General features: G+C 46.7%; 1 protein-coding gene and 1 pseudogene across 3 annotated transcripts, besides 6 other annotated features; one reads left to right on the top strand and one right to left on the bottom strand.

The window, feature by feature from the left end:
- Window positions 513-27,919, bottom strand: PEX26 (peroxisomal biogenesis factor 26). 3 transcript variants are annotated; one of them, NM_017929.6, is made up of 6 exons: window positions 27,862-27,919; window positions 27,303-27,613; window positions 25,895-26,035; window positions 22,177-22,472; window positions 20,651-20,797; window positions 513-17,937 (listed from the first exon to the last, which is right to left on the bottom strand). In NM_017929.6, the coding sequence occupies exons 2-6, from the start codon at window positions 27,530-27,532 to the stop codon at window positions 17,834-17,836; spliced, it is 918 nt and encodes a 305-aa protein (NP_060399.1). In that variant the 5' UTR covers window positions 27,533-27,613; window positions 27,862-27,919; the 3' UTR covers window positions 513-17,833. The 3 variants fall into 3 exon arrangements, with proteins under 3 accessions (NP_060399.1, NP_001121121.1, NP_001186248.1); NM_001127649.3 differs by having other exon boundaries at window positions 27,303-27,919; NM_001199319.2 differs by lacking the exon at window positions 20,651-20,797.
- On the top strand, window positions 2,260-3,452 carry ARL2BPP10 (ARF like GTPase 2 binding protein pseudogene 10; annotated as a pseudogene).
- Window positions 13,927-14,136: an enhancer, noted in NCBI's record as "active region_18651". NCBI's record gives its function as "activates an Ori minimal core promoter by ATAC-STARR-seq in GM12878 lymphoblastoid cells {active_cell/tissue: GM12878}" and the evidence as "EXISTENCE:reporter gene assay evidence [ECO:0000049][PMID:35858748]".
- Window positions 14,157-14,216: an enhancer, noted in NCBI's record as "active region_18650". NCBI's record gives its function as "activates an Ori minimal core promoter by ATAC-STARR-seq in GM12878 lymphoblastoid cells {active_cell/tissue: GM12878}" and the evidence as "EXISTENCE:reporter gene assay evidence [ECO:0000049][PMID:35858748]".
- Window positions 24,335-24,540: a silencer, noted in NCBI's record as "fragment chr22:18564135-18564340 (GRCh37/hg19 assembly coordinates)". NCBI's record gives its function as "represses an EF-1alpha promoter that drives an FKBP-Casp9 reporter gene in an ReSE screen in phorbol 12-myristate 13-acetate-treated (for megakaryocytic differentiation) K562 erythroleukemia cells {active_cell/tissue: K562(+PMA)}" and the evidence as "EXISTENCE:reporter gene assay evidence [ECO:0000049][PMID:32094911]".
- Window positions 27,096-27,145: an enhancer, noted in NCBI's record as "active region_18649". NCBI's record gives its function as "activates an Ori minimal core promoter by ATAC-STARR-seq in GM12878 lymphoblastoid cells {active_cell/tissue: GM12878}" and the evidence as "EXISTENCE:reporter gene assay evidence [ECO:0000049][PMID:35858748]".
- Window positions 27,506-27,555: a silencer, noted in NCBI's record as "silent region_13448". NCBI's record gives its function as "represses an Ori minimal core promoter by ATAC-STARR-seq in GM12878 lymphoblastoid cells {active_cell/tissue: GM12878}" and the evidence as "EXISTENCE:reporter gene assay evidence [ECO:0000049][PMID:35858748]".
- Window positions 27,626-27,855: an enhancer, noted in NCBI's record as "active region_18648". NCBI's record gives its function as "activates an Ori minimal core promoter by ATAC-STARR-seq in GM12878 lymphoblastoid cells {active_cell/tissue: GM12878}" and the evidence as "EXISTENCE:reporter gene assay evidence [ECO:0000049][PMID:35858748]".

Here is a 27,989-nt window from a genome sequence, read left to right as displayed (position 1 = left end):
GACTGGAACCACATCTTCAGCTCTTCTGGGTCTCCAGCATAACCACTGCAGGTCCTGGGTTTCCCAGCCCCTATAATTGCATGAGCCAATTCCTTATAACTCTCAAGATACCACCTATTGGTTCTGTTTCTCTGGAGAACCCTAGTACAGTCCCCTTTTTGTAGATGAGAAACTGAAGTTAAGCCTAGGCTGTTTATGAAAAAACAACCACCCATATGATTTAGGCTTTTTAAAGAAATTATCCACATCTACTGCATTCCAGTTACTATGTGTGAGTGAAGTTCTTCTTGTATGAATTTTAATGCTGTGGGGCCATATAACCAAATATAATTACAGTTATGGCCTAAATAGTTGAGCCACATTCATTAGAGCAGGAGGTAAGATAATTTCTATCAATCACCCAGGAAAAGACTCTTGGCGATATTCATTATCTGTTCAATATTCCCCAACACTGAGCACTTTCTATATGCCAAACACTGTGCTAATGGCTTTTATTCCTCACAACAAACCTCTGAAGTTAAATTTTTATTATCCTCATTTTACAAATGAAGAATCAGAAACATAGAAACATTAACTCTCATTCCTGATCACATAACTGGTAAGAGCTAGAGCTGGGCTATGCTTCAGAGAGTCTGGCTCCAGAGCAGAGCTCAACTGGATCTGGAAGGGCAAACCTTTCATAGAGAGGCTTGTCCTTGTTCTCTTAGGTTAGACTTCAGAGTTCCAATATCCAGGATGCTGCTCCAGGATGGTGGGTGTTACAGATGGAGGTCATGATGTTGAGGGAGGCTGGGAGCCCAGAGGATGAGACACAAGAAAGATCTCTTCATTTCCAGGCACCCCATTGCTGGGGTGAGCCCATGAAGTCCAGAGAGCAAACGATATCTTACCATTAGATTATCTAGATTCAGGTACTTGTCATATGTATTTAACTTTGGTTAGCCCCAAGTACCTTACATACATTCACCCATGTGTCTCAGATGCTGCAGGGGATTAAGGGAAGTTGAGGGTGAACCATTTTGGCCACTGGATCACAAACAAATTGGCTCGCCTTTAAGGTTTACATGGCTGCAGCAGCCGCAATCAAGAGATCACCAAAGAGGAGGTGAATCATGGGACAAATTCCCCTGGGAGGGGTGGAGCTTTAAACCAACATCAGGCAGATGCAAAGAACTCAGCAGAAACAGGAGGCAGTGAGAACAGGAGGCAGTGAGAACAAGAGGCAGTGAGCACTGGGAGCGGGAGTCAGTGACAGACTGTGCAGAGAACACTGAGGCTGGGAACTCAGGAAAACTCACCTCCTGTAAACAGGAGGAAAGGCCAGCCTGTGGCCTCGTGACATCCAAGGCTCTGTCACAGATGGGTAACCACCTTCCTCCGCTACCAGCTCCTAAAAGAACACCTAAAGAGGCGGGTGCGATGGCTCATGCCTGTAATCCCAACGCTTTGGAAGGCTGAGGCAGGTGGACCACCTGAGGTTGGGAGTTCGAGACCAGCCAGACCAACATGGAGAAACCCCGTCTCTACTAAAAATACAAAAATTAGCCAGGCGTGGTGGTGCATGCCTGTAATCCCAGCTACTCAGGAGGCTAAGGCAGGAGAATCGCTTGAACCTGGGAGGTGGAAGTTGTGGTGAGCCGAGATCGCGCCATTGCACTCCAGCATGGGCGACAGAGCGAAAAAAAGAAAAAAAAGAGCACCTAAAGGTCTGTGTGGGATAGACTAGGAAAGATGAAGCCGTCGGTCATCCCCTCCTGCTCTTGGTATTGTGTAGATGATTAACTGTTCCCCTTTCTGGGCATTTTCCTCCTAACCAACACTGAAACAACTGGTTGAATAGTCTCATTTTTTCCAATCACTTCACATATTGCTATGAGTATTGCAAAGTACCCAATCTTTCTGGACCACGTCCTGGCAGTATGTTGGAAGAGCAGAAAAACTGATCTCTATCAATGTTGTAGATCCACTTTCAAAAACCAGCCCAAGAGAAAAACCCAGAAAGAAAACAACTACTATCGTCTTAACTGTTCTACTCAGCCCTTGGTGATTTCACAGCACTTTCATATGCAATCTGTTTACAGCTATGTTATTCACAATAGCAAAAAGTTGGTGGTGGTGCATGTGGGTGTTGACCGGGCTGGGCCAAGAAGCCTCCTCCGGGCAGGCTGCCAGGCTCTCACTGTGGCTGTGGCTCTGTATGGGACAGAGACGGGGCTGAGCTGGCCGGGCTGTGGGCAGGGTGGAGGGCCACCAGCCAAAGGACAGTTGGAGGAATCGAGCTTCATGCTGTCCTTCTCTTCTGCCTCTGATACAGAATTTGATGTTGTGGTTGGATATATAGTACACATTATCATGGATGACATGTTCCGGTTATTATAGAGAAATTTTGTGGACAAGTATTACCAGGAGTTTGAAGACATGGAAGAAAATCAACTCACCTACATGCCTGCTTTTTGATAAATAATATTTGTACATATTATTGAAGTAGATGTGACATTTCATTACATGCATAGAATGTGTAGTGATCAACTCAGGGTATCCAGGATACCCATGACCTTGAGTATTTCTCATTTCTATGTGTTGAGAACATTTCAAATCCTTTATTCCGTCTATTTTGAAACACCCAATACAGTGTTAACAATGGTCACCCTATTCTGCTATCAAGCATTAGAACTCACTCCTTCTATCTATGTTTGTGTCCATCAAGCCACCTCTTCATCCCACATACACACCCTGCCCAGCCTCTAGTAATTGTCATTCTACTCTCTACCTCCATGAGATTAACTTTTACATGCCTTTTTTTTTTTTTTTTTTTTGAGATGCAGTCGCACACTGTCGCCCAGGCTGGAGTGCAATAGCACGATCGCACGATCTCGGCTCACTGCCACCTCTGCCTCCTGGGTTCAAGCAATTCTCCTGCCTCAGCCTCCTGAGTATCTGGGATTACAGGCACACGCCACCATGCCCAGCTAATTTTTTGTATTTTTAGTAGAGATGGGGTTTCACCGTGTTGGCCAGGCTGGTCTCGAACTCCTGACCTCGTGATTCGCCCGCCTCAGCCTCCTAAAGTACTGCGATTACAGGTGTGAGCCACTGCGCCCGGCTACATGCCTATTTTTAATAAATGTATTTACTTGACAGAAAAGTATCCTGAAGGACACCTACTGGAGCGGATTGCTGGATTTAGCACATGGCCTTCACAATATTAGGCATGATAAAGATGAAGGGGCTGGTGCCCTTCATCAGACAGAATTTGATGCTGTGGTTGGATATGTAGCAGACATTACCATGGATGACATGTTCTGGTTATTATAGAGAAATTCTGTGTACAAGTACTACCAGGAGTACTTGGTGCCATAGGCCGGGGACTAGACCTAAGCGATAGTTTAGCGGTGACTTTGTTGAGCAAATCATCTTCTATGCCAGCTTCCCCGAACAAGCTGTGGCACTAGATCCCACCTCCAGGCAAGGAAGAGGATCATCCTGGATGTCACCAGCCCACTGGCTTGGAGAGGCTGCAGCTATTGAGGATAGAACAATACATCTTGGAAAGACTGACTGTTCTGCAACTCATCATTCATGTTAAGTATTAAGGGTCAAAAACAAATGGCTTGATGTGTTTCTCCTGAAACACCTTCTTGTGTTTAGTAACCCTAGTACTCCTCCCATCTCTCAGGTGCTTTTGAATCAGACTGCTGTGGGGCAAACCCATGCCCAGCATTCCACCTGAGGCCCTTCTGCCAGCATACATTCAGTGTGTCAACAGTGTGGAATAACCCACTATCATGAGTCCTCTTTGTCCCAGCAGCTTTGGCATGAACTTTTTTTTCTTTTAAATGAAGAGACGCACATTTTAGTGATTTTCCTTGTGAAATTGCAAAGACTAGAAGAAAGTTAGACACTGACATCTCCATACCTGAATCTCTACCCACTCCATCTCACCCACCACCTGCTTCACAAACTTCCTACTCAACCACCTAAGATGAGACTTCTGGGCAATGTCTCCTCAGCCATCATCTGCCGTGATGTGTCACCCTCAATCATGCCAGGCGTTGTCGAATTCTCCATTCACTGGCTCCTCAATAGCTTTAAAGGCCCCAGACCTCAGGTTAATGACCAAGGAAATTGCACCATCCATCAGAGAGCTGACTTGCCCACATGCAGGATGAGGCCATTGTAATGCCAGGTCTTAAAGGAGAGGGTGATTTCATCACTGCTGCTCTGGATCGGGTTTTGACACAAGTCATTGCACAGCTACTCTGAGCCTTGGAAGGTGGCCACATTCTTTTCTTGATCCTGGGCATTAGGGAAGGGTCCATACAGGTGGTCATACTTAGGCTGTGTCTTGAAGTATGAGTAAGAGATCACTTTCTGCAGCAGTGCTCCAGCCTCCAATGAGGGTGCCACATGCTCCTTCTCCTCGCTACTCCCCACCAAGCAGTTGAGGGAAAAGGGTCAGAGGAAGGTCAAAATCAGCATGAGTCTTTTCCTGCACTGATAGCTCTTTTTCACACAGGTCAGTTTCCAGTCCTTCAACCTCAATGGGGTTTTTGACTGGGACTATTATCTAGGATGTTACTCAAGCCAGCTACCCATCTTGAGGTTTCTGAATCTCCCAGGATCAAAGCTAGTCTTGGCTGTAGGAATCAACTGAAAGAGATGTCCTTTACCTAAAAACTACATGTGAAAATCAATTCCTAGTTCTATATTTGAATCTTTGGGTCAAGAAGTCTTCTGTTGATCCTGATACAGTCCCACTGTTTCTAGAAGTCTCTTTTAAGCATTATTTTTGGAAAAATACTTTTATAGATGAACCCTCAGCCTAACCTAGTGGATATGATGTTGAGAATTCCATGATTATCTGCTTAAAGATCAGAGTATCTGTGAGCCTTTTAGTTGCCAGCGCTGTGAAGGCAAAAATGCTAAGTCGGCATTCATTCCTGTTGTATGGGGTACCAGTGAGTGTAGGCCGTGTGCTGGAAATAGACTAAAAGCTATCCTCTTCTTCCAGCATATTAACTGTGTTTGTGCATGTTTGCTGAAAATCCTTTCCATATAGATCAGTTTGTTAGGTTCTCTGGGACAGGCAGGGACTCTGCAATTTCTTCTTCCTGTCAAACTCTTTCCTACCGAGATGGTGTCCCACTCATCTATCTCAGCATGCGTAGGATGTAGTAAACAGCATCGCTGGTCATCTACCTGCTTTGAATTAATACCATTGGTAGAATATTACTGACCAGAAAATATGTATGTCACATCTCTAGAAAGAAGAAAAAACATAGCTGTTCAATTCCCAATGTGTACCTTTGATTTTTTAAGTAGAAGTGAGAATCTGTACTGACTTTTCACTTGGTTATTCTGGTTTTAAAGTTGGAGCCACAAGCTATGTGTTTTTCTATAATGGTACATTGCTGACTAAATACTTTCGGACCATGAGGTATATTTGAGGTAAATGAGGTACACTTGAGGTATTTTGCAAGTATCATCTTTTATTTTTTATTATTATTATTATTATTTTTTAGTTAGAAAGAGCTGGCCAGGCATGGTGGCTCACGCCTCTAATCCCAGCACTTTGGGAGGCTGAGGAGGGCAGATCACCCAAGATCAGGAGTTTGAGACCAGTCTGGCCAACACAGCGAAACCCTGCCTCTACTAAAAATATAAAATTAGCTGGGCATGGTGGTGCATGCCTGTCATACCAGCTACTCAGGAGGCTGAGGCAGGAGAATTGCTTGAACCTGGGAGGCGGAGGTTGCCGTGAGCCAAGATTGCACCATTGCACTCCAGCCTGGGCAACAAGATTGAAACTCTATCTCAAAAATAATAACAATAAATAGAAAGAGCTGAAAAGGTCAACATAGAAATAAGAAGGAACACTGCATGGTTACTAACATGGATTAGGGGATTGAATTTTGGCCCCCCAAAGATATGTTTGCCTAAAATCTCAGAATGTGACATTATTTGGAATAAGGATCTTGATGTAATTGAGGACCTCAAGATGAGATCATCCTGGATTAGGGTGGCTCTTAAATTCAGTGACATGCATCCTTGGCAGAGAAGATACAGAGGTACGAAGAAGGTCAAGCGAAGACTGAGGCAGGGATTGGAGTGATGCTGTCGCAGGCCAGGGAACACTTAGAGCCAGCAGAAGCTGGAAGAAACAAGGAAGGAATCTTGCCTACAGCCTTCAGAGGCAGAGGCTTTGGCTGACTTCTGGCCTTCAGAGCTGTGAGATAATAAATTTCTGTTGTTTTAAGCCATACATTTGTGGCAATTTGTTAACAGCAGTCCTAGGAAACAAATGTGTGTAGTAAGGAAGTGATAATGTTGGAAGCTGAATAGGTAATAATATTAAATGAAAAAGAATGCCAAACTCAAATTGGTAGATATATGCTTAAAATAAGCACATATGAATGTATATTGAAGGGAAGATATAGACTTTTATTTTCATGGGGTGTTTTTAGTAAGGTTGCTTGAATGAATAGAAAGCATTTCACGTATACCATAAGTAGTATGGACTGTTAACACGAACCTGGAAAGAGGTCCAGTCATCCTACGTGGCAGCAGAGCCATGCTAGGCCCCAGGCTATTTTTTGCCCTGGTCAATTTGATTTTTTGGTTTTGACTCCAGCAATATTGCCTCACAAATTCATTTTTTTAATTCAAGTACCCACCCAAATCCTACCCATCTGCACCTTTTTCCCTGGGCTGGACTCTTGCCTGTCCTTCAGAGTAGATTCACACCTTCTGGCCCACCAATCTCCAGACTTTGTCTTCAGACATACAGAACATTCCCTCACAAACTCTACTACTTTTCCACTCACCAGCCCCTACCTTCCTCTTCCTACAAATCATCACTAAAAGGTAAGGCAGACAGCATGTCATTTTTTGGTCTAGTACCTGATTATTTTAGATAGCCCAGAGAAAGGGTTGATTTGTGGTTGCCTATGTAATTGTATGCACAGTTCTCTATTGGACCATTTAAATCTAACTTAATCCAGCTAAATGTGCCTATATGCAAACATCCATATCTATGTAGCCATTTCATGCATCTATTTTATATAGTTTTAATCCATTTTATATTTATTATATAGTATTTTCATTACTCCATTGCATATGTGTATATATATTATATATATATGTCTACACACGCACACATACACATGTGTATTACTTAATACTTTTCAAAGTTTTTCTTATAGACTTTTACTCATTTTACACAATAATATTATAAAGAAAATGAGGGAGGTAATTTTTTTTTCTTTTTTCTTTTTTTTGAGACAGAATCTCACTCTGTCGCCCAGACTGGAGTGCAGTGGCAGGATCTCAGCTCACTGCAACCTCTGCCTCCCAGGTTCCAGAGATTCTCCTGCCTCAGCCTCCTCCTGAGTAGCTGGGATTAAAGGTGTGCACCATCACACCCAGCTAATTTTTGTATTTTTAGTAGAGGTGGGGTTTCATCATGTTGGCCAGGCTGGTCTTGGCCTCCCGAAGTGCTGGGATTGCAGGCATGAGCCACCGCACCCAGCCAAGGAAGATAATTTTTGTCCCCATCTTGGAGGTGAGAAAAATTGGACCCGAGATTAAATGACTTATGCAAAGTTATAGGGCAAATTAGTAACAGAGCCAGAACCAAAACCAGTCCAATCCTATATCTAGAAAGCTATATATTTATACTTTTTTTGTGTGTGTATGTGTGAGACAGAGTCTCGCTCTGTTGCCCAGGCTGGAGTGCAGTGGCTCGATCTCGGCCCACTGCAACCTCCGCCTCCTGGGTTCAAGTGATTCTTGTGCCTCAGCCTCCCAAGTAGCTGAGATTACAGGTGCACGCCACCACACCCAGCTAATTTTTAGATTTTTTGAAGAGATGGGGTTTCATCATGTTGGCCAGGCTGGTCTCAAACTCCTGGCCTCATGATCCACCTGCCTTGGCCACCCAAAGTGGTGGGATTACGGGCATGGGCCACTGCACCTGGCCTCTAGAAGGCTGTATTATAATTACCATTAATTACATATTGTCCTTTATTGTCATCAAAATCATGCCACTTCTTTGAAAAATAAAAAAATCATCTGGGTGTGGTGGCTTATGCCTATAATCCCAGCACTTTGGGAGGTCAAGATGGGAGGATCACTTGAGGCAAGTTCAACACCAGCCTGGTCAGTGTAGTAAGACCCCATCTCTGTATTTTTTATAAGAAAAAAAAAGGAAGGAATAAAACAGAGTACATAATATACTACAGGTTTTTTTTATAAAAAGGAGAAGAAACTAGGATCTATATCCATACTGGTTTTGTATTGGTGTATTAAATTTACCTCTGGAAGAGTAAATTTAAAACTAATGGCTGTGGCCAGGCACGGTGGCTCATGCCTGTAATCCCAGCACTTTGGGAGACCGAGGCAAGTGGATCACGAGGTCAGGAGATCAAGACCATCCTGGCTAACACGGTGAGACCCCGTCTCTACTAAAAATACAAAAAATTAGCCGGGCGCGGTGGCAGGAGCCTGTAGTCCCAGCCACTTGGGAGGCTGAGGCAGGAGAATGGCGTGAACCCGGAAGGCGGAGCTTGCAGTGAGCCGAGATCACACCCCTGCACTCCAGCCTGGGCGACAGAGTGAGGCTCTGTCTCAAAAAAAAGAAAAAAAAAAAAAACTAACGGCCATAGCTGCCATTGGGGTAGGTGAACTTGCTAAATGAAGAGATGGGAGGTGATATGGTTTGGCTCTGTGTCCCCACTCAAATCTCATCTCAAACTGTAATCCCCACGTCGGAGGAGGGACCTGGTGGGAGGTGACTGGATCACAGGAACAGTTTCTCCCCTGTTGTTCTTGTGATAGTGAGTCAGTTCTCACGAGTTCTGATGGTTTTAAAGTGTGGCATCCCCCCTCATTCTCTCTGCTGCTGCCATGTAAGATGTGCCTTGCTTCCCCTTTGCCTTCCACTATGACTGCTTGTTTCCTGAGGCCTCACAGCCATGCAGAACTGTGAGTCAGTTAAACCTCTTTTCTTCAACAATTACCCAGTCTCTGATACTTCTCTAAAGCAGTGTGAAAATGGACTAATACAGACTGCTTTCACACTAGACTTTTTCAAGCCTTTTCAAAAACCCTATGAATGTATTGCATATTTAGAAAATTAAACATGGTCTGAAATGAATATATAAAAAGGCTTAGCACTTTAAGAAATCAGAGCCGGCCGGGCGTGGTGGCTCACGCCTGTAATCCCAGCACTTTGGGAGGCCGAGGTGGGCAGATCACAAGGTCAGGAGATCGAGACCATCCTGGCTAACACGGTGAAACCCCATCTCTACTAAAAATACAAAAAATTAGCCGGGTGTGGTGGCGGGCGCCTGTAGTCCCAGCTATTCGGGAGGCTGAGGCAGAAGAATGGCATGAACCTGGGAGGCAGAGCTTGCAGTGAGCTGAGATCGTGCCACTGCACTCCAGCCTGGGCGACAGAGCGAGACTCCATCTCAAAAAAAAAAAAAAAATTCAGAGCCATTTGCAAAGCCTAGTTCCTAGGCTAAGAACAGGAATCAGAAGTGCTGCCTTTTCTGTGGTCTGATGTTCACAAGATGCTGGGTTCTACCACTCCAACTCTCCCCTCCTTACCTCACTTAATTAAGAGCAACAGTAATAATAACTAGCACCTGCTCACTACATGCTATGCACCTTTTCAGTGTTTTACATGGATTAGCACCAGTTAATCCTCACAACAAACCTATGAAGTAACTGAGGCACAGGAAAGATTATTTGAAGGTCAAAGCAGGTGAGTCAAGATACAAACTCAGGCCGGGTGTGGTGGCTCATGCCTGTATTCCCAACACTTTGGGAGGTGAGGCATGCAGATCACTTGAGGTCAAGAGTTCAAGACCAGCCTGGCCAACATGGTAAAACCCCGTCTCTACTAAAAATTCAAAAATTAGCCAGGCGTGGTAGTGTGTGCCTGTAGTTCCAGCTACTCGGAAGGCTGAGGCAAGAGAATCGCTTGAACCTAGGAAGTGGATGTTGCAGTGTGTCGAGATCATGCCACTGCCCTCCAGCTTGGACGACAGAGTGAGACTCTGTCTCAAAAAAAAAAGATACAAACTTGGGCATTATGGGTCTGGGACCCACACTCTTAACCACAATCCCATGATGTCTCTCATTTACGCAGCAAATTACTCCATTGGGGTTAGGCCTTGTTTCTCAAAAAAAAAAAAAAAAAGGCTTTTGCAAAATATGTTTCCTGGGAGGATTAATAGAGCACATCTTTTAGCCATTGTCTTTAGCACCTCTGAAAACAAGCACTTGTCACCATGGAGACCATGAAATCCAGGAACAGGACAGAACACAAACAAGTACTAAAAGGGGAGTGGGAAGCATTCCCAGAATGTTCCAGAGCAGGGGGTGCCCGCCGGACAGAGATGTCAGAGCCCACAGAGGGACTGGGAATGGGTAGGATGTCTCTGGTGGGGCGACCAAAAAATTTTACCAGCTCCCCAGCTTTCCAGAGAAAGCAGCCCATTCTTTGAGACCCAGCTAAGTCCACTGGTAACCAAGAGCATGGCTTATCTGTGTGAGTCATCCAATGAAACTACCAGCTTGTATTTATACCTACCCAGGAGGACACCCGCCAGGCTTTGTCATTGCTGGTACATCTGAGAAGAACACCTCCTGCTCTTTCTCTGGAGGGAGCTGGGCGACGATACTACTAAACAGATGCCAAAGCACAGAGCCCTCCCCTGCCCCACCTCCACCCTTCAGCCCTGGTGCGGGTCTTATTGCTCACCAACTCTTGCTGCTTCTATTTCTTCCTTCCCTAATTCCTAAGGCCAAAATCCAAGTTCATTCAACAAATCTTTATTACTTGGCCTCTTACATGGATGGCCTCATTCCAGGTGCTATGGGGGAGATAAGAACAGAAATCCTGGTACCTGTATGCCTAGATTCAAATCCCAGCTCTACCATTTAAAAGCGGTGGGGCACTGGGCACATTAGCCCCTCTGAGTCTGTTTTGCTGTCTCTAAAATGATAATATCTACCTCGCTGGCTTGAACCCAAGAGGAGGGTGCAGTGAGCCGAGATCGCACCACTGCACTCCAGCCTAGGTGACAAGAGCAAGATTCCATCTCAAAAAAAAAAAGAAGAAAAGAAAAGAAAAGAAAAAAAAAGCCAAAGGAAAATAAGAAACTAGCTATGGAGGCAGAAAAGGGGCAGTCAGTGGGGTCAGAGACAAGGCAAGAAGCCAAAGAAGGGATGGCCCTCTACCGCATTTGGAAAATAAGCCTGTAACATAAAAGTATGCATGCATTTTTCTGAGGGCAAGAACCTGTAGGTTACATTCTGAGGACCATACAAATCGGTTTTCCACCTAAGAAACTTCTCCATGTAAATTATGTTGAGGTCGTCATTAAAGAAGCTTTTTTCTCTCCAGGTGCCGTGGCTCACGCCTGTAATCCCAGCACTGTGGGAGGCGGATCACGAGGTCAGGAGATCGAGACCATCCTGGCTAACACGGTGAAACCCAGTCTCTACTAAAAATACCAAAAAATTAGCCAGGCGTGGTGGCGGGCGCCTATAGTCCCAGCCACTCGGGAGGCTGAGGCAGGAGAATGGTGTGAACCCAGGAGGCGGAGCTTGCAGTGAGCTGAGATCACGCCACTGCATTCCAGCCTGGGTGACAGAGCGAGACTCCATCTCAAAAAAAAAAGGCTTTTTTCTGAAATGACACTCTTCTACAAAAGTGCTTTCATTTCTTCACCAAGTCTCTGCTATTATCTGACACCTGTCCGTCCCACCTTGGATAGTACAAAAGTGACAAGAGGATGCTAAAAGTTTTAAAGGGGCTGTTGGAAAATACGAGCTGGGAAACATGTAGAGCTAAATATGAGCTCAGGTCAATATTAAAATTGGAAGTAGGTCACAGAATCCCAACCCCACATATTTGGATCCAGCCCTTGGTGAGTGGGCCTTGGACTGTACTTCACAATCCCATCTTCACCTGCAGTTGTCCGGCCAACATGGCCCCTTCCCGCCTGCCCTTTCCTAACCACCTCCACTCTCTCTAGTGAAGACGCTGAGCTCGCAGCCATGCTGGTTGCACACTGCCATTTTCTACAGGTTCTCAAGTGCATGGGCTGCCAAGAGGGTTGGGTGTTTACATTTATTTTTAATAGAAATGGGGTCGTACCCGGGGCATCTCTTTTCTTCATACTGCAATGTTGCTAGATACACAATCAGACACCAGAGGGTTGGGCATTCTTGCAATACCTTAACAGTGCTGAAACCTGCAGCATGGTACTAAGGAAGTTAAAGTTAGAATGTAACCACTTTATTTAAAAGGTTTATTTTTGTTTTTTTTTTTTTTAAGACGGAGTCTTGCTCTGTCCCCCAGGCTGGAGTGCAGTGGCGCCATCTAGGCTCACTGCAAGCTCCGCCTCCTGGGTTCACGCCATTCTTCTGCCTCAGCCTCCCGAGTAGCTGGGGCTACAGGCACCCGCCACCACGCCCGGCTAATTTTTTGTATTTTTTTAGTAGAGATGGGATTTCACCGTGTTAGCCAGGATGGTCTCGATCTCCTGACCTCGTGATCCACCTGCCTCGGCTTCCCAAGGTGCTGGGATTACAGGCGTGAGCCACCGCGCCCGGCCAGGTTTTTTTCTTTAATTTAAATGAAATGGGGTTGAAGTGAACATGATCTTGTTGACCATGTTCGTGAATTATAGATGCAACATGCATTGGTAGAATCGTGTGATGGTCTTTTGTGATACTTAATTTTTACATATCCCAGTCTCTGTATGTATCTGCACAAAGAAAAAACAAACTCCTGCTTTGCTCTTATTGAAGGGTTCCCAGGACTGCGTGTCTGCTCCTGAGCTCTGTTTTAAGTATGTGTATCCTTTGCTTGTATTTTGTATTAAAAAAGTAAGAAAAAGAACCCTTTATTGTTGAGCATGTTGGCATTGTCCCGTTTATTTTTTTCTCTTTTTGGGACATATGAAGCAAGTTATTCTTTTTCTGTATCTTTTTTTCTTTTGTAAACTTTTTGTTTTTTTCTTGTTTAAAATTGGCTTTATAAAAGGGCTTTTATAACCCACCCCCCCCCCAAAAAAAAGAAATGGGGTCCCACTAGGTTGCCCAGGCTAGCTTTGAACTCCTAGGCTCAAGCAATCCTCCCACTCTGGCCTCCCAAAGTGCTGGGATTATAGGTGTGAGCCACCATGCCAAGTTAAAAAAAAAAAAAAAGTCTGTGAAGCAGGAGTTGCAGGAAAAAAAAGAATTAGTTAATTAATTAGGGGGAAAAAAGCTGAAAGAAAATCAACCGTATTAATAGTAATTATTTCTGAGTGGTGGGATCACGAGTCCTGTATTTCCTTCTATGCAATTAATATTTTCTAAAATATACATGCATTGCTTTAAGACAAGAAAAATACTTGCTGTTTTATCAAGAGGCCTAGAGGTGGCAAACAATGTCTGGATCCGTACACCACCGCTGGAGGAATGCAGAGGCGGGCGGGGGCGCGACAGGCTGCTAGGCACCGTGCCCACTGTCTGTCCTGTAGCTTCCTACCAGCCCGAAACACTGAGGTTTCCAGAGGCAGCGAGGCAAAAGGGCCAGACATTTTTCTGGTTAACACTCCATGTATTCAGTTTCCAAAGGTGCTAGGCCAGGGCGGTGAGGCCGACCTTGGCCAGGCCGTGGGTGGGTTGCTTGACTAGGCCAGAGAGTAAATCAGTAGAATTCCCACAGGCCCCATCTGTGGATGTGAGGCCAAAGTCCATCGGCCCCACGGCTTTTCCGTGCTGGGAGGGAGGAAAGCAGAGGACGGCACAGGGAGGCTGGGAGGGAGGAAGGAAAGCAGACGACGGCACAGGGAGGTGCCCTACTCGCGGTTCATGTCATCACTTTCGCTTTCTGACAGTTCCTTGGGCTGCTTTAAGTGGATAGCAGAGGCCACCTTCTAGATGTAGAAAGAAACTGAACGTCCAGAGTGTGAACTGGCCTGCTTGTATCTCCCCTCGGCGGCAGTGGTGGTTGCCAGCCTGGCTTGCGTTTGCCCAAAAGTAATAGTAAAGAGCTCTGACCACTGCTGCTCACCCTAAACTTGGGGCTGCTGTACTTGTAGGCTTTGGAAAGCATGGAGGGGTTTCCACATATTAAAAAGGAAAAGGGCACCAGGTCTGTGCTCTGTGACCCCATCACGCAACGGAATGACACACAGCTATGAAGAATGAGGCTGCTCCACATATGCTGGGACTGAGAAAGGTTTTTGTGTTTTGTTTCGTTTCTGAGACCAAGTTTCACTCTTTGTTGCCCAGGTGGGAGTGCAATGGCGCGATCTCAGCTCACTGCAACCCTTGCCTCCCGGGTTCAAGTGATTCTCCTGCCTCAGCCTCCTGAGTAGCTGGGATTACAGGTACCCACCACCATGCCCGGCTCATTTTTTTTTTGTATTTTTAGTAGAGATGGGGTTTCACCATGTTGGCCATGCTGATCTCGAACTCCTGACTTCAGGTGATTCACCCACCTTGGCCTCCCAAAGTGCTGGGATTACAGGCATGCGCCACCGCGCCCAGCCGAGAATTGTTTTTTTTCTTTTTAAACGTGGCACAGTGTGTGTAGTGTATGTGACTACTATCATTTGTGTAAGAGAAAGAAAAGTTTACTATCAGAGACTGTATCTGGAGGGATAAACAGACTGGCAAGGGTTGCCTCTGGGCAAGAAACTGGGGAATAGAGAGCGGGAGTAGAAAGACTGTATTAGCTGGGTGTGGCAGCACACACTGTAGGCCCAGCTACTCCAGAGGCTGAGGGGAAGACTTGCTCAAGCCCAGGAGTTCAGGTCCAGCCTGGGCAACACAGCAAGACTAAAAAAAAACAACTTTCTTTTCCAAGAATACCCTTTTTGTAACTTTTGAATTCCGTATTTTTTAATGGTCTATGGTCTACAAACACTCATGTGCAAACACATACACGCAGAATAGGGATCACCTGCACGAAGCTATGAACTATTTCCTCATCCCTTCTAGCCCCTTCCTAGAGGCGAACCCTCCGCCCCCACCCCCAGGCACTATCTGTCCTGCTTGCACCCACCTCCACCCAGGGCTGGCCAACAATAGCCTGTTTCCTCTCCATTCCACCCCTCTCCCCCACCCTCCCATCCCACCACAGAAGAGGATTACTGGTTCCTGCTTTCCTTAGCGCCCCTAAATTTAAAGGTATCTGTTCTATGTTGCATGCTTCAGAACCCTGTAGAAACAACCAGCAAATCCACTGTTGATACGCAATTACCCCTCTTGGATGCATCTGCAACAAGCACTCCCCAGCTTCGAAGGGGCAGCAAAGAAGTTCACAATTACAAGACCATGGGGTCACGACCACAGAAGCGATATGAAACAGGTCCCGGGACACAGGGAGGGGCAGAAAGAATTCTTTGAGTAAGCCTGGAAGGTGGAGGGGCTCACCAGGCCAAGAGCAGGTGCTAGGCCTTCAGTAGGAACAGTGCGAGCCAAGGCACAGAGGCCAAGGGGAGCGAGCTGTAGCTGTGATGGTGGGCAGCTGGAAGGCCGCACATATAATCAACAGGGGACCCACATCAAAGGGGAGATCTTAGCCAAAACCAGCACATAGGGGCCTTCAATTCCATGAAGAATTTAGATGTTATCCAGTGAGCCATGGGAAGCCATTGAAGCGTTTTATCTAGGGTAGTTAAGTGGGCCCAGATTTTCATTTTAAGAAATCATTCTATAGAAGGAATCTCAAACCTCACCTGACTGCTTTTCTCCCCCCAGGGTTCTAAGCTTTACTTAAAAGCCCATATAAAAAAGTATAGATTTGCTTCCTACAGACTTGAACCATGCCCTAAGGATTTAATTCTAAGGGGCCTGTGAAGTTTACCTACTTTACTCATTTTTCTAAAGAAAAGTTGGCCGGGCGCGATGGCTCACACCTGTAATCCCAGCACTTTGGGAGGCCTAGGTGGGTGGATCACAAGTTCAGGAGATCGAGACCATCCCGGCTAACACAGTGAAACCCAGACTCTACTAAAAATACAAAAATATTAGCCAGGCGAGGTGGTGGGCACCTGTAGTCCCAGCTACTCGGGAGGCTGAGGCAGGAGAATGGCATGAACCCGGGAGGCGGAGCTTGCAGTGAGCTGAGATCACGCCACTGCACTCCAGCCTGGGTGACAGAGACTCCATCTCAAAAACAAACAAACAAACAAACAAACAAAACAAAAGAAAACTTGTTGCCTTGCAACCCCCGAAAATGTACCAAGGAAAAGCTAGCAAGCACCTTCTCTATTTTGGGCATCAACACCAAGGACACAGTGCAGGGCAGCCTGCTTGGCCTCTGGGTAGAGAAAGGCCAGCCCCTGCAGAAAGCCCTTCTTCATCCTGACAGCACAGCAGTGCTCTACGCTTCCTTGCACAGAAACTCATAAGATGCTTGTGGCTGGTGAGAAAACAACACTGAAACATTTCAGCTCCTCAAATGCTAAGGCCTCGGTGCCACCTCCCTAAGGTTTTATTGTTCACTGCCTTCAAAACCCATGTCTCCCGTCTGCCCCGCCCCCCACATCCCTTCCAGCTCACCTGATTACTCAGTTCCATTTTCAGCTCAGCAGCCTCTGAGGCTGGCCTACTTTTCAAGGCCACACGAGCAGAAAAATTTGGGCATTACACAAACAACAGAACATAACTAGGACAATGGGACACAGAAAGGGAAGAACCTGAAATGGTGTGTACCAAGGAGGCAAGGATACAGGCAGAACCTGGTGAAACAGCCAAGGGACAAGTTTGCAGGGCGGGAGGGAAGGGCTGGCGGGGAAAGAGTGGGCAGAGGCACTGAGCGTAACAGAGCAAGACTTGGCCAGGACAACCTGGAAAATTGAGCTGAAGACCAAGAGGCACCAGGCAAGATCACTTTACCCAGCGATAAGAGCTGTAAGGCTCACTTGGTTTTCAGTAGTCAACCCGGTGGTTCTGAAAACCACACCCCAGCCTGAACAGTGAGAAGGCTCCTGCAGCTTCAAGCGCATGGCAAGACCATGGGAACAGCCTATTGATACAGAATTAGATCAGCTCTGGGGAGCACAGTGCAGGCAAGAAGAGGCCCTCTCAGATCTACTCTAGCTAATTAAGGTACTGTCCTGTGGGGCATGTTTTTTTGTTTGTTTTGAGAGAGTGCGGTAGCACAATCTCAGCTCACTGCAACTTTTGCCTCCCTGGCTCAAGTGATTCTCCTGCCTCAGCCTCCCAAGTAGCTAGGACTATAGGCGTGCACCACATCTAGCTAATTTTTGTATTTTTAGTAGAGATGGGGTTTCACCATGTTGGCCAGGCAGGTTTTGAACTCCTGGCCACAAGTGATCCACCCACCTCACCCTTCCAAAGTGCTGGGATTACAGGCGTGAGTCACCATGCCCAGCAAAGAAGTATGTTTCTCAAGAAGTGAAAGGCCAAGGGTCACTTCACCAGGCTTTTTCTGAACTTCCAGCTCCATTAACATCCTGACCTGAAGAACCAACCCCTTGCCTTCACCAAGAAGATGGAATGTTTCATGGACACAGTCCCTGTCCCCAAACCCCTCCTTTTCAAGGGGCCTCTGGTCATCCGGGGCACTGTTCTGGAGGTGCTGTGCCTGCTGGTCCTGCTTTGTTTCCACATCATCTACCGCGACCAGCCGAAGTAGGGTGCAAAGGAGAGGGCACCCAGGCAGCAAGACACAGTGCACTCCGCGAGATTAGGCTGGTCCCATTTCCCCAGGGGCGCCTGTGGATGTGTCGCTCTGTCGCTCTGCTTCTGTGGCCACGGACGTGAGGAGCAGAGAGGCTGTGGTGCGCAGGGACCCTCAGTCACGGATGCGGAGCTGGTAGAGGCGAGAAAATGCAGCCTTCCGGATCCAGCGGAAGAGCTGGGCCAGCTTGTAGAGGAAGTGCAGGGAGGAAGGGGAAGCTGCAGGGCAGAGGGAGACTACAGTGAACGTCCCACCCCTCTCACCTGTCACTCTGCCATCTCCCACCCTGGGAGACTCCACTACCAATTACACATAGTTGGTTTTGTTTTGTTTTTTTTAGAGACAGGGTCTCGCTCTGTCACCTAGGCTAGAGTACAGTGCAGTCTGTGTTCAGCTCACTGCAGCCTCAATCTCTGGGGCTCATGCGATCCTCAGCCTGCAGGTGCAGGTTCTCCTCCCCCACCATCATCACTCCAATGAGTCGGGCCTGCTGCTGAGGGTCAGGGCCACTGGGCCAGGCCCTTCTGAAGCAGCCTTGGAAAGAGCAGGCTCAAATGTCCTCATGCCATCCCCACTAGGAGACCAGGGTTTACGAGACTAAAGGGCTTACGGGAACCATAAAGAATCATAAAGAGTTTCTAAATCTGTATCAGTCAGGAGGTGGCCAGGGATGAACGCTGATGATACTGAGCATTCCGAGCGCTAACTCGTGACTTCTTTGTAAAGCAAACAGAGTCGTCCACAGGGGATCCCTGCTCAGCATTCAGCAGACGGGTTAGAAGGACAACTCTGAGCTATGTGACGGAAACCTCGCTGGCCAGGCATGATGGCTTGTGCCTATAATCCCAGCACTGTGGGAGGCTGAGGTGAGAGGATCACTTAAGGCCAGAAGTTGGAGACCAGCCTGGCAAACATGGCGAAACCCCGTCTCTACTAAAAATACAAAATGTAGCCTGGCATGGTGGTGTGTGCCTGTAATCCCAGCTACTTGGGATACTGAGGCAGGAGAATCGCTTGAACCCAGGAGGCGGAGGTTGCAGTAAGCCGAGATCACGCCACTGCAACCTGGGCAACAGAGCAAGACTCTGTCTCAAAAATAAAAATAAAAAATTAGCCGGGCATGGAGGCACATGCCTGTAGTCCCAGTTACTTGGGAGGCTGAGGAGAGAAGATCGCTTGAGCCTAGGAGGCAGAGGTTGCAGTGAGCCAAGATCACGCCGGTGCACTCCAGCCTGGGCAACAGAGAAAGACCCAGTATCAAAAACTAAATAAATAAAATAAAATAAAAATAAAAATAAATAAATAAATATTTTAAAAAAGCTCACTGAATAAGAGAAAGAGAAATGGGGAAACAGGGAGAATCTAAAGACTAAGTTAACAAATGGCACTTCTCAAAATAGACAAACCATTTGAAGGGACCAGTATAAGGGTTTCTGATTTCCTCTTAAATTTTGAAACTTATTTAATCATATTCTAAGTCTAAATTCATGAGAAGAGTAGAGATTAGAACATAACTCACACTGAGTAACACAAAAAAATCTAAAAGAGCGAGTGCCAAGTTTGGCTTCATGCACCTGAGGGGTCAATCCTCAGGAAATAACTGGGGTTGTTCCCAAATATCACTTAGGGAGCTCATTCCTTCTTCACAGCGAGGCAGAAAACAGAATAATCACCCAAATGTTCAATAATAGGGGTTGTTAAATTACTTAGGGGCATTCCTGTGAACTGGAATAGTTAGCGATTTAAGGCCATGCTTGAAAGCATATGTGTGACATGTAACTGCCTACAATCTCTATATCCATAGAAAAAGACTGAAAGCACAGCAGAGTAGCAGATTTCTATGCCCTTCTTTATACTTTTCTCTATTTTCCACATTTTTTTTTCTTTTTTGAGACAGAGTTTCGCTCTTGTAGCCCAGGCCAGAGGGCAACAGTGCAATCTTGGCTCACTGCAACCTCCGCCTCCTGGGTTCAAGCAATGCTCCCTGCCTCACCCTCCCCAGTTGCTGGGATTACAGGCACGCACCACCACACCTGGCTAATTTTTGTATTTTTAGTAGAGACGGGGTTTCACCATATTGGCCAGGCTGTTCTCGAACTCCTGACCTCAGGTGATCCACCCTCCTTGGCCTCCCATAGTGCTGGGATTACAGGTGTGAGCCACCATGTCCGGCCTATTTTCCACATTTTCTAAAATGTATGAGTTTTTCATTTACAACTTGCTTTGAATTAACACTTCATGAGACATTAATACTTGAATTAACACTTTTGTAGATATTCTGATGAGCGGAAGTTTTTTTGTTTTTTGTTTTTTGTTTTGAGACAGAGTCTCGCTCTATTGCCCAGGCTGGAGTGCAGCAGTGCGATCTTGGCTCACTGCAACCTCCGCCTCCCGGGTTCAAGCTATTCTCCTGCCTCAACCTCCCAAGTAGCTGGGACTACAGGCATGTGCCACTACACCTGGCTAATTTTTTTTGTATCTTTAGTAGAGATGGGGCTTTACCATGTTGGCCAGGCTGGTCTCGATTTCCTGACCTTGTGATCTGCCTGCCTTGGCCTCCCAAAGTGCTGGGATTACAGGCGTGAGCCACCGTGCCTGGCCAAGAGGAAGTTTTTTTAAATTCTGAGGTTCTAGTCAGAGTTCAGCCCTAGAAAAAGTGGAGGACTATGACTCAGTCCATGTTCAGGAGTCAGCAGGGCCAAGTGGACTTTCTCCTGGCTGCTCTCATAGACTCCAGGACTGGCCTCTCCTTATGGGTGGGGCTGGCTCATGCCCAGTCTAGCAATTCCTCCTTGTGGAACAGACTCAGGGGAAATGTCATAGGAGAGACTCCCCTCCCCAGTAGGACTCTGACAAACACCCACTCCCACAGGCCCAGCCCTGGCAACAACCCCTTCCCAGGAAGGACAGGGGAGAGTCTCCACCTCTTACCTGGATCAAATCTCACCACCAGGAGACAGAGGATCAAGGCAGCCAGGAGACTCTTTTTGAAGGGCAGAGAAAAGAAGTGGCTCACCGCAGAGTCCCAAAGCTGGCGAACCAACATCGGTAGTGACAGGAACTTGTGGGAGACAGAGCCTGGCCAGGGAGACAGAGCACAGCTTCAGGGATGTCATGGGAATCAGCTTCCCTGACCCCGACCTCTGTGCTTGCTTCTAAGACCTGAGCAGGCCAGGCGCAGTGGCTCATGCCTGTAATCCCAGCACTTTGGGAGGCTGAGGCAGGTGGATCACAAGGTCAGGAGATCGAGACCATCCTGGCTAACATGGTGAAACCCCGTCTCTACTAAAAATACAAAAATTAGCCAGGCGTGGTGGTGTGCGCCTGTAGTCCCAGCTACTTGGGAGCCTGAGGCACGAGAATCACTTGAATCTGGGAGGTGGAGGCTGCAGTGAGCCAAGATCGTGCCATTGCACTCCAGCTTGGGCAACAAGAGCAAAACTCCGTCTCAAAAAAAAAAAAAAAAGAGTTTAGTAAAAGGGTATTAGGTATTGGCTAAAGCCTTCATTCCTTAACTGCACATACTCTTGCAAATCTCATGAATATAAATTGTTTTCCTCGTGTTTATTACTTATTTTGACTATATATTATTTACTATATTGAATGCATCTTTGTAAAAGTTTTTTAAAACCTTTCAGAACCTTTCAGGCCAGGCGCAGTGGCTCATGCCAGTAATCCCAGCACTTTGGGAGGCCAAGGCAGCCAGATCACGAGGTCAGGAGATTGAGACCATCCTGGCTAACACGGTGAAACCCCGTCTCTACTAAAAATACAAAAATTAGCCAGGTGTGGTGGCGGGCACCTGTAGTCCCAGCTACTCAGGAGGCTGAGGCAGGAGAATGGCGTGAACCTGAGAGGTGCAGCTTGCAGTGAGCGGAGATCGCATCACTGCATTCCCGCTTGGGCGACAGAGCGAGACTCCGTCTCAAACAAAAAAAAAAAAAAAAAAAAAGAGAGAGAGATGGTGACTTTCTGTCCTTGAAGTATTCACAACTAGACTAGATCATCACTCAAGGAAAAGGGCGGAAAAGATTCAGCGACCAGGGAAAGGGTCTGCAAATTAGTTTCTGATATTCCTTTGGCTATCCCAGCAGATCTCAGCTGTGTCTGTATTGGGGCCAGCATTTAAAGGAGGAAGGACATCCCACCCAGACCAGTATGGTGGAAGCAAGAGACCTCATCAGAGGACTCCAATGGGAAAATGACTTTCAAAAGACAAGTCAAGGTCCCAAGACCCAGCAACACCTTCCCATGTGGAGATTCTCCTTCCACTGCCAACTTCAGAGGGTCTGGCCTTCACTTTGTGAAGCAAATCAACAGGCCTCCTATTCTGTGACTCAAGAGTTATTCATACAAAGAACTGCTTCTAAGCTCGCAGGAGTTTCACGACAGACCCCGAGGTACAGTGCAAGCCCGCAAGTCCACTTTACAGAGGTCGCAGAGGGATAATGTCCTACCTTCCAGGTTTGGCTTCTGGGCCTCCTCAGAGCCTGAGTGTTCCTGTTTCTGCTGCTGCCTCGCTGTGTGAATGGCCTGAAGTACATCCAGTCGCCGCTCCTCACCAAAGGCTGCAGAGCCCACCACTAGCTCCTCAGCCTCCGATAAGCAGCCCAGAGGCAGCAGCACCCGCTGCACGTGAAATTCTGCCAAGGCTCCATATTCTGGAAGGTTTTGATTGGCTGGGTCTTGGAGCCAGGCACCCACCACATCCAGCACAGCTCCAGGCTCTTGCATTTTGCTGTATAAAAGAATGCTGCAGTCCCCAAAAAACCCAATCCCAACAAAAGAAGAGTCAGTGCTCAATGATTGGTTCATTTCCCATGACCACTATGCTTCTCCTATCCAGCCCCTCCTCACTGTGTCCTCGAGCCCTTTCCGATGAAATGATGATGCTCATGGGAATTCCCCACGACACACCCATCACTAACAGCATAATCAATGGGAAAAGCTGAAAGCCTTTCCTCTAAGATCAGGAGCAAGACAAAGATGCCTACTTTGACCGTTTTTATTCAACATAGTACTGGAGGTCATAGCCAGAGCAATCGGGCAACAGAAAGAAATAAAAGGTATCCAAATTGGAAAGGAGGAAGTCAAGTTATCCCTGTTTGCAGACAGAACTAATAAACGGATTCAGTAAAGTTGTGGGATACAAAAATCAATGTACAAAAAACAGCGTTTCTATACGTGACAGTGAACCATTGGAAAAGAGATCAAGAAAACAATTCGATTTACAATAGCTACCAAAAAAATAAGATACCTAGGAATAAATTAAACCAAGCTGGCAAAAGATCTCTACACTGAAAACTATAAAACATTGATGAAAGAAGTTGAAGGGGACACACAAAAAATGGAAAGATATCCCGTGTTCATTCACAAATTGGAAGAATATTATTAAAATACCCAAAGCAATTTACAGATTTAATGCAATCCCTATCAAAACACCAATGGCATTCTTCAGAAACAGAAAAAACAATCCTGAAATTCGTATGGAACCACAAAAGACCCCAAATGGCTAAAGCAGTTGTGAGCAAAAAGAACAAAGCTGGAGGTATCATATTACCTGACTTCAAACCATACTACACAAAGCTATAACAGTAACCATAACAGCATGTTATGGCATAAAAACAGACAAAATAGAACAGAACAGAGAGCCCAGAAATAAATTCATGCACCTACAGCCAACTGATTTTCAACAAAGGTGCCAAGAACACACACAGGGGAAAAGACAGTCTCTTTAATAAATGGTGCTGGGAAAATCGGATATCCATATGCAGGAGACCAGACCCCTACCTTTCCCCACATACAAAAATTAACTCAAAATGGATTCAAGACTTAAATGTAAAATCCAAAACCATGAAACTACTAGAAGAAAGCACAGGAGAAATGCCTCACAACACTGGGCTGAGCAAGTGTTTTTTTCAGTAAGACCTTAAAAGCACTGGTAACAAAAGCAAAAATGGACAAATGAAATGACATCAAACTAAAAACTTCTGCACAGCAAAGGAAGCAATTAAGAGTGAAGAAACAACCTACAGAATGGGAGAAAATATTTGCAAACTATCCATCTGACAAAGCGTTAATATCCAGAATATATCAGGAACTTAACAGCAGAAAAAAAAAAAAAAAACCTGATTCAAAAGGGAAAAAGACCTCAACAGACATTTCTCAGAAGACGACGTACCATGGCCAACAGGTATATGAAAAAATGCTCAACACTACTAATCATCAGGGAAATGCCAATCAAAACCACAATGAGACACTACCTCGCTCCAGTTAGAACAGCTCTTATCAAAAAGACAAAAGAAAACGAGTGTTGGTGCGGGTGAGGATGTGGAGAAAGGCAGCACTTACACACTGTTGGTGGGACTGTAAATTAGTACAGCCATTATGGAAAACAGAATGCAGGTTCCTTTAAAAAATTCAAAATAGGAAAGACGGCACTTCCTTTTTGTAAGTGGTGGCAAGTGCTGAGAGAATGCCATGAAGGCCTGGGGCACACTGAGAGAGTATTTGCTGCCTGCCCACCCCCAAATGCCACATGCTGCCCCTCTACTGCCAGCAAATCTCTGCACCTAAGCAAGTTGTGCCAAGTCCCGCTTCTGGTACTGCCACCGGCCGACAGTCAAGCAGTTCCACAATTCCAAGATCAAGTTCCTGCTGCCCTACCAGGTCCTGTGTCTTCAGCACAAGCCACACTCCAACATCAAGAGTCCCAACACCTTCTTCTAGGTACAGGGAACTGTCACCGGGTGTCATCAAAATAAACTTAAGAATGGCCAGGTGAAAAAAATAAAAATAGAACTACCACATGATCTAGCAATCCATTATCTCCCCTGTTTAATGCAGCACTATTCACAACAGCCAAGATATGGAATCAACCTAAGTGTCCAACAACAGATGAATGGATAATGTGTGTGTGTGTGTGTGTGTGTGTGTGTGTGTGTATATGTGTACATATATGTATATTATGTGTATATATGTGTTTATATATGTGTATATATATACACACACGCATATATATATATATATATATATATAATGGAATACTATATAGCCATAAAAAAGAATGAAATCTTGTCATTCATGACAACACAGGTGGACCTGGGGGACATCATGTTAAGTGAAATAAGCCAGGCACAGAAAGATAAATACTACATGATTTCACTCATGTGAATCTTTAAAAAAAAAAAAAAGTTGATATCATAGAAGCAGACGGTAGAACGGTGGTTACCAGAGACTGGGAAAGGAAGGAAGAAAAGGAAGACGGGAAGAGGTTCGTCAATGGGTACAAAGTTACGGTGGGATAGGAGGAATAAGTTGTGGTGTTCTATTGCACGGTAGGGTGGTTATGGTTAACAGTAAGGTATTGTATATATAAAATAGCCGGAAGAGAGGCTTTTGAATGTTCCTGTCACAAACAAATGATAAATGCATGAGGTGATGGATATGCTAACTACCCTGATTTGATCATTATACAACATATACACAGCATATATTGAAATGTCTAATTTACCCCATAAATATGTACAAGTGTCAATTTTAAAAACTTTGTTATTTTTTGGCCAGGGGCGATGGCTCACATCTGTAATCCCAGCACTTTGGGATGCCGAGGCAGGTGGATCACGAGGTCAGGAGATTGAGACCATCCTGGCTAACACGGTAAAACCCTGTCTCTACTTAAAACACAAAAAAATTAGCCGGGCGTGGTGGCAGGCGCCTGTAGTCCCAGCTACTCGGGAGGCTGAGGCAGGAGAATGGTGTGAACCCGGGAGGTGGAGCTTGCAGTGAGCAGAGACTGTGCCACTGCACTCCAACCTGGGCGACAGGGCGAGACTCCGTCTCAAAAAACAAAACAAAACAAAACAAAACAAAATTTTTTTTTAAGAATTAGGAATTCCTAGGACGTAGCAAGCTGCTCTTTCAGCTCTGTCCACTCTGTCATCCCACGTCGCTCCTATTCCCTGTTTCCTCCCTTCTTTATATCTATTCTACTCCTAAATTCCTCCCCCTTATTCTTTATTGCTATGTATGGAAGTCTGGGGAAAAAAAAGTGAAGGGAAAGAATCCGATCTGGAGGGCAATAGTAGGGAAGGGGAAAAGAGTAGGTATTTAGGAGAGGAGATGAAAATCCTCTCGTTTCTGAACCGATCTGATGAGTCAGCAAAGAAGACTTACCACAGCTCCAGGACTTTGGGGGGTAGCTTTTCAGGGACCTGGTAATACTGAAGGACCCAGGAGAGGACTTCTTGCCACCGATCCATTTCTGCCAGGGCCTGGATCCCCACAACACACAGGGAGCACTTCACCTCCAATGAGCTGTCAGCAGAAAAACCAATTTCAGTTAGAAGTGGTTCCCCTCCATTTCCATTCCCACCTCCACCTTGGGACTGTTCCTCTCCAGCTCCCAACTCAGCAGCCATCATCTCTCTCATCCCTGTTAGTATTTAGATGGGCTTCACAATTGGTCTCATGGGCTGCCCTTTCCCCCAGGAACTAAAAGTTCCTGTAACCCTCTTTCAAGAGGCAAGTCAGCTGTTGCTCAACGTTCATCTTTGTATCCAGGTGAAATCAGATTTAAATGAAGAGGAAGGGTAATCCTGAGGGGGAAATAACACACAGCACCGGTGTGTGGCTGAAAAGAGAGCTGGAACTAAGAGTTTGCTCTGTGAACAAATGGGCTTGGAGCAAGGTTTCTGGCTGAGTGGAGGTATAGACTCCATAGCTGGCTAAAAGGCACCACCTAGTAAGGTTCCTCCAGACACCCAGAAGCAAAGCCTTCTGCATTCACTGAAATGAGCTCCCACCCAGTCCCCTAAAACACAGCCAGGGCTCTCCAGATCATCCTTCTTTGTGGTCAACTTTAGCTATTCTACCTACCACCTCCCTAGCGTGGCCTAACCCAAGTTTACAATGCAAAGAAATGACTCCCTCACCTGCCAGACGAGGCTGGTGGCATTAGAAAGAGCAATGCAAGCCCAAGGTTTTTTTCTCCGGATTCTTTTCTTTTTCTTCTTTTTGGTAGAGAAGAGGGCTCATTATGTTACCCAGGCTGGTCTCGAACTCCTGGGCTCAAGCAATCCTCCTGCCTCGGCCTCCCAAAGTGCTGGGATTACAGGCGTAAGCCCCAGCTCCCGGCCCTGAATTAATTCTTTAATCCAGTCCTCTAATTGGACCAGAACGCTGCTCCTGCCATGACCCCCATTCCCCATCATCAGCCAAGGTCAGGAATAAACAACCTTGGGCGGGGCGGGGAGGGCGGAGGTACCTGGGAGAGGACTTTTACCACCTGCTTACTGACAGAACTTAGCACTTAATACACATTCAGCCTTCCCATCATGTCATTGTACCTTGGAACAAGGAGCAAATAATTGGCTGTGGGATCCCCACTAAGTTTTTGTTACACGACTTCCCTTCTCTGTAGAATGGGCACACGATGAGCGACCACCCTCTCGGAGACAAACCACTGATGAAAGCGAGGTGTAAAGCTCCTTGTGGGCAATCTGGGAAGGACAGAACTCCTGAGACCTTGAGCCCCACCACAAGAGCGCCCGGAAATCGGTTCATTTCCGAGCCCAGCACGTACGTGCCCGCGGGTTCCTCTGCCACGGCGTGGTTGGCCAGACTCTGCCAGGCCCGCTCGCAGGTCTCCAGCGCCGCCCGGAAGTCCAGGTGCACCACCAGGAGGTCGGCCGCCTCCTCCAGAAGGTCCACGGCCGGCGCCCGGGCCGGGACCGCGCGCACCGGCTCGCTGCTGCGCAGGGGTCCCCCGAGCCCCCTGAGGGGGGCTGCAGAGGTCGAAGAATCGCTCTTCATAACGAGTCCGGGTCCAAGGCCCAGGTCCTCAGACGTCGGAGTGACCGCCTCCCCAGAGGCTCCGGGATATCCCGAGTTGGCCTGGGCGAAGAGGGAGAGTCCTCATCTCTTTGCCCACACCCCTTCCCGAGGTCGATTCCCCGAGAAGGAAAAGGAAGGGGCCTATCTGAGGCAAAAGCTGGGCTCGCCTGGAGGCTGGGGAAGCAGTTTACACGTCAGATTTGCAGGATTCTTGCATCCCTGGAATACCTGGCCCTAGCTTCTCCGGCCCCGCGACACGTGCAGGAACTGCCTCAGCTCCGGGCTCCTGGTTACGATCAAAGACTCACCTCGCCTCCCGGCAGCGGGCGCGGACATCTTTGCGCTCGCCCAGCCCCGCAGCCGCGCGGCGTCCCGGCGGCGCGGAGTACTCTAGGAGTTGTAGTTCCTCAGCTCTCGGCCCATCGCCTTCTGTAAT

Source organism: Homo sapiens, chromosome 22 (genome assembly GCF_000001405.40).
Source record: "Homo sapiens chromosome 22, GRCh38.p14 Primary Assembly".
Lineage (NCBI taxonomy): Eukaryota > Metazoa > Chordata > Mammalia > Primates > Hominidae > Homo > Homo sapiens.
Note: the sequence above shows the minus strand (reverse complement) of the source record. Positions and strands in the feature narration are given on the sequence as shown.

Bases quoted from the DNA above. Each gene is read 5' to 3' on its own strand.
- PEX26 (NM_001127649.3), bottom strand. From the start codon at position 27,532: ATGAAGAGCGATTCTTCGACCTCTGCAGCCCCCCTCAGGGGGCTCGGG. The intron at 26,036-27,302 runs GTACGTGCTGGG...TTCTGCTGACAG, and splicing joins GCAGAGGAACCCGCGGGCAC to CTCATTGGAGGTGAAGTGCT. The intron at 20,798-22,176 runs GTAGGACATTAT...CTCCCTGGCCAG, and splicing joins CCAGAAGCCAAACCTGGAAG to GCTCTGTCTCCCACAAGTTC.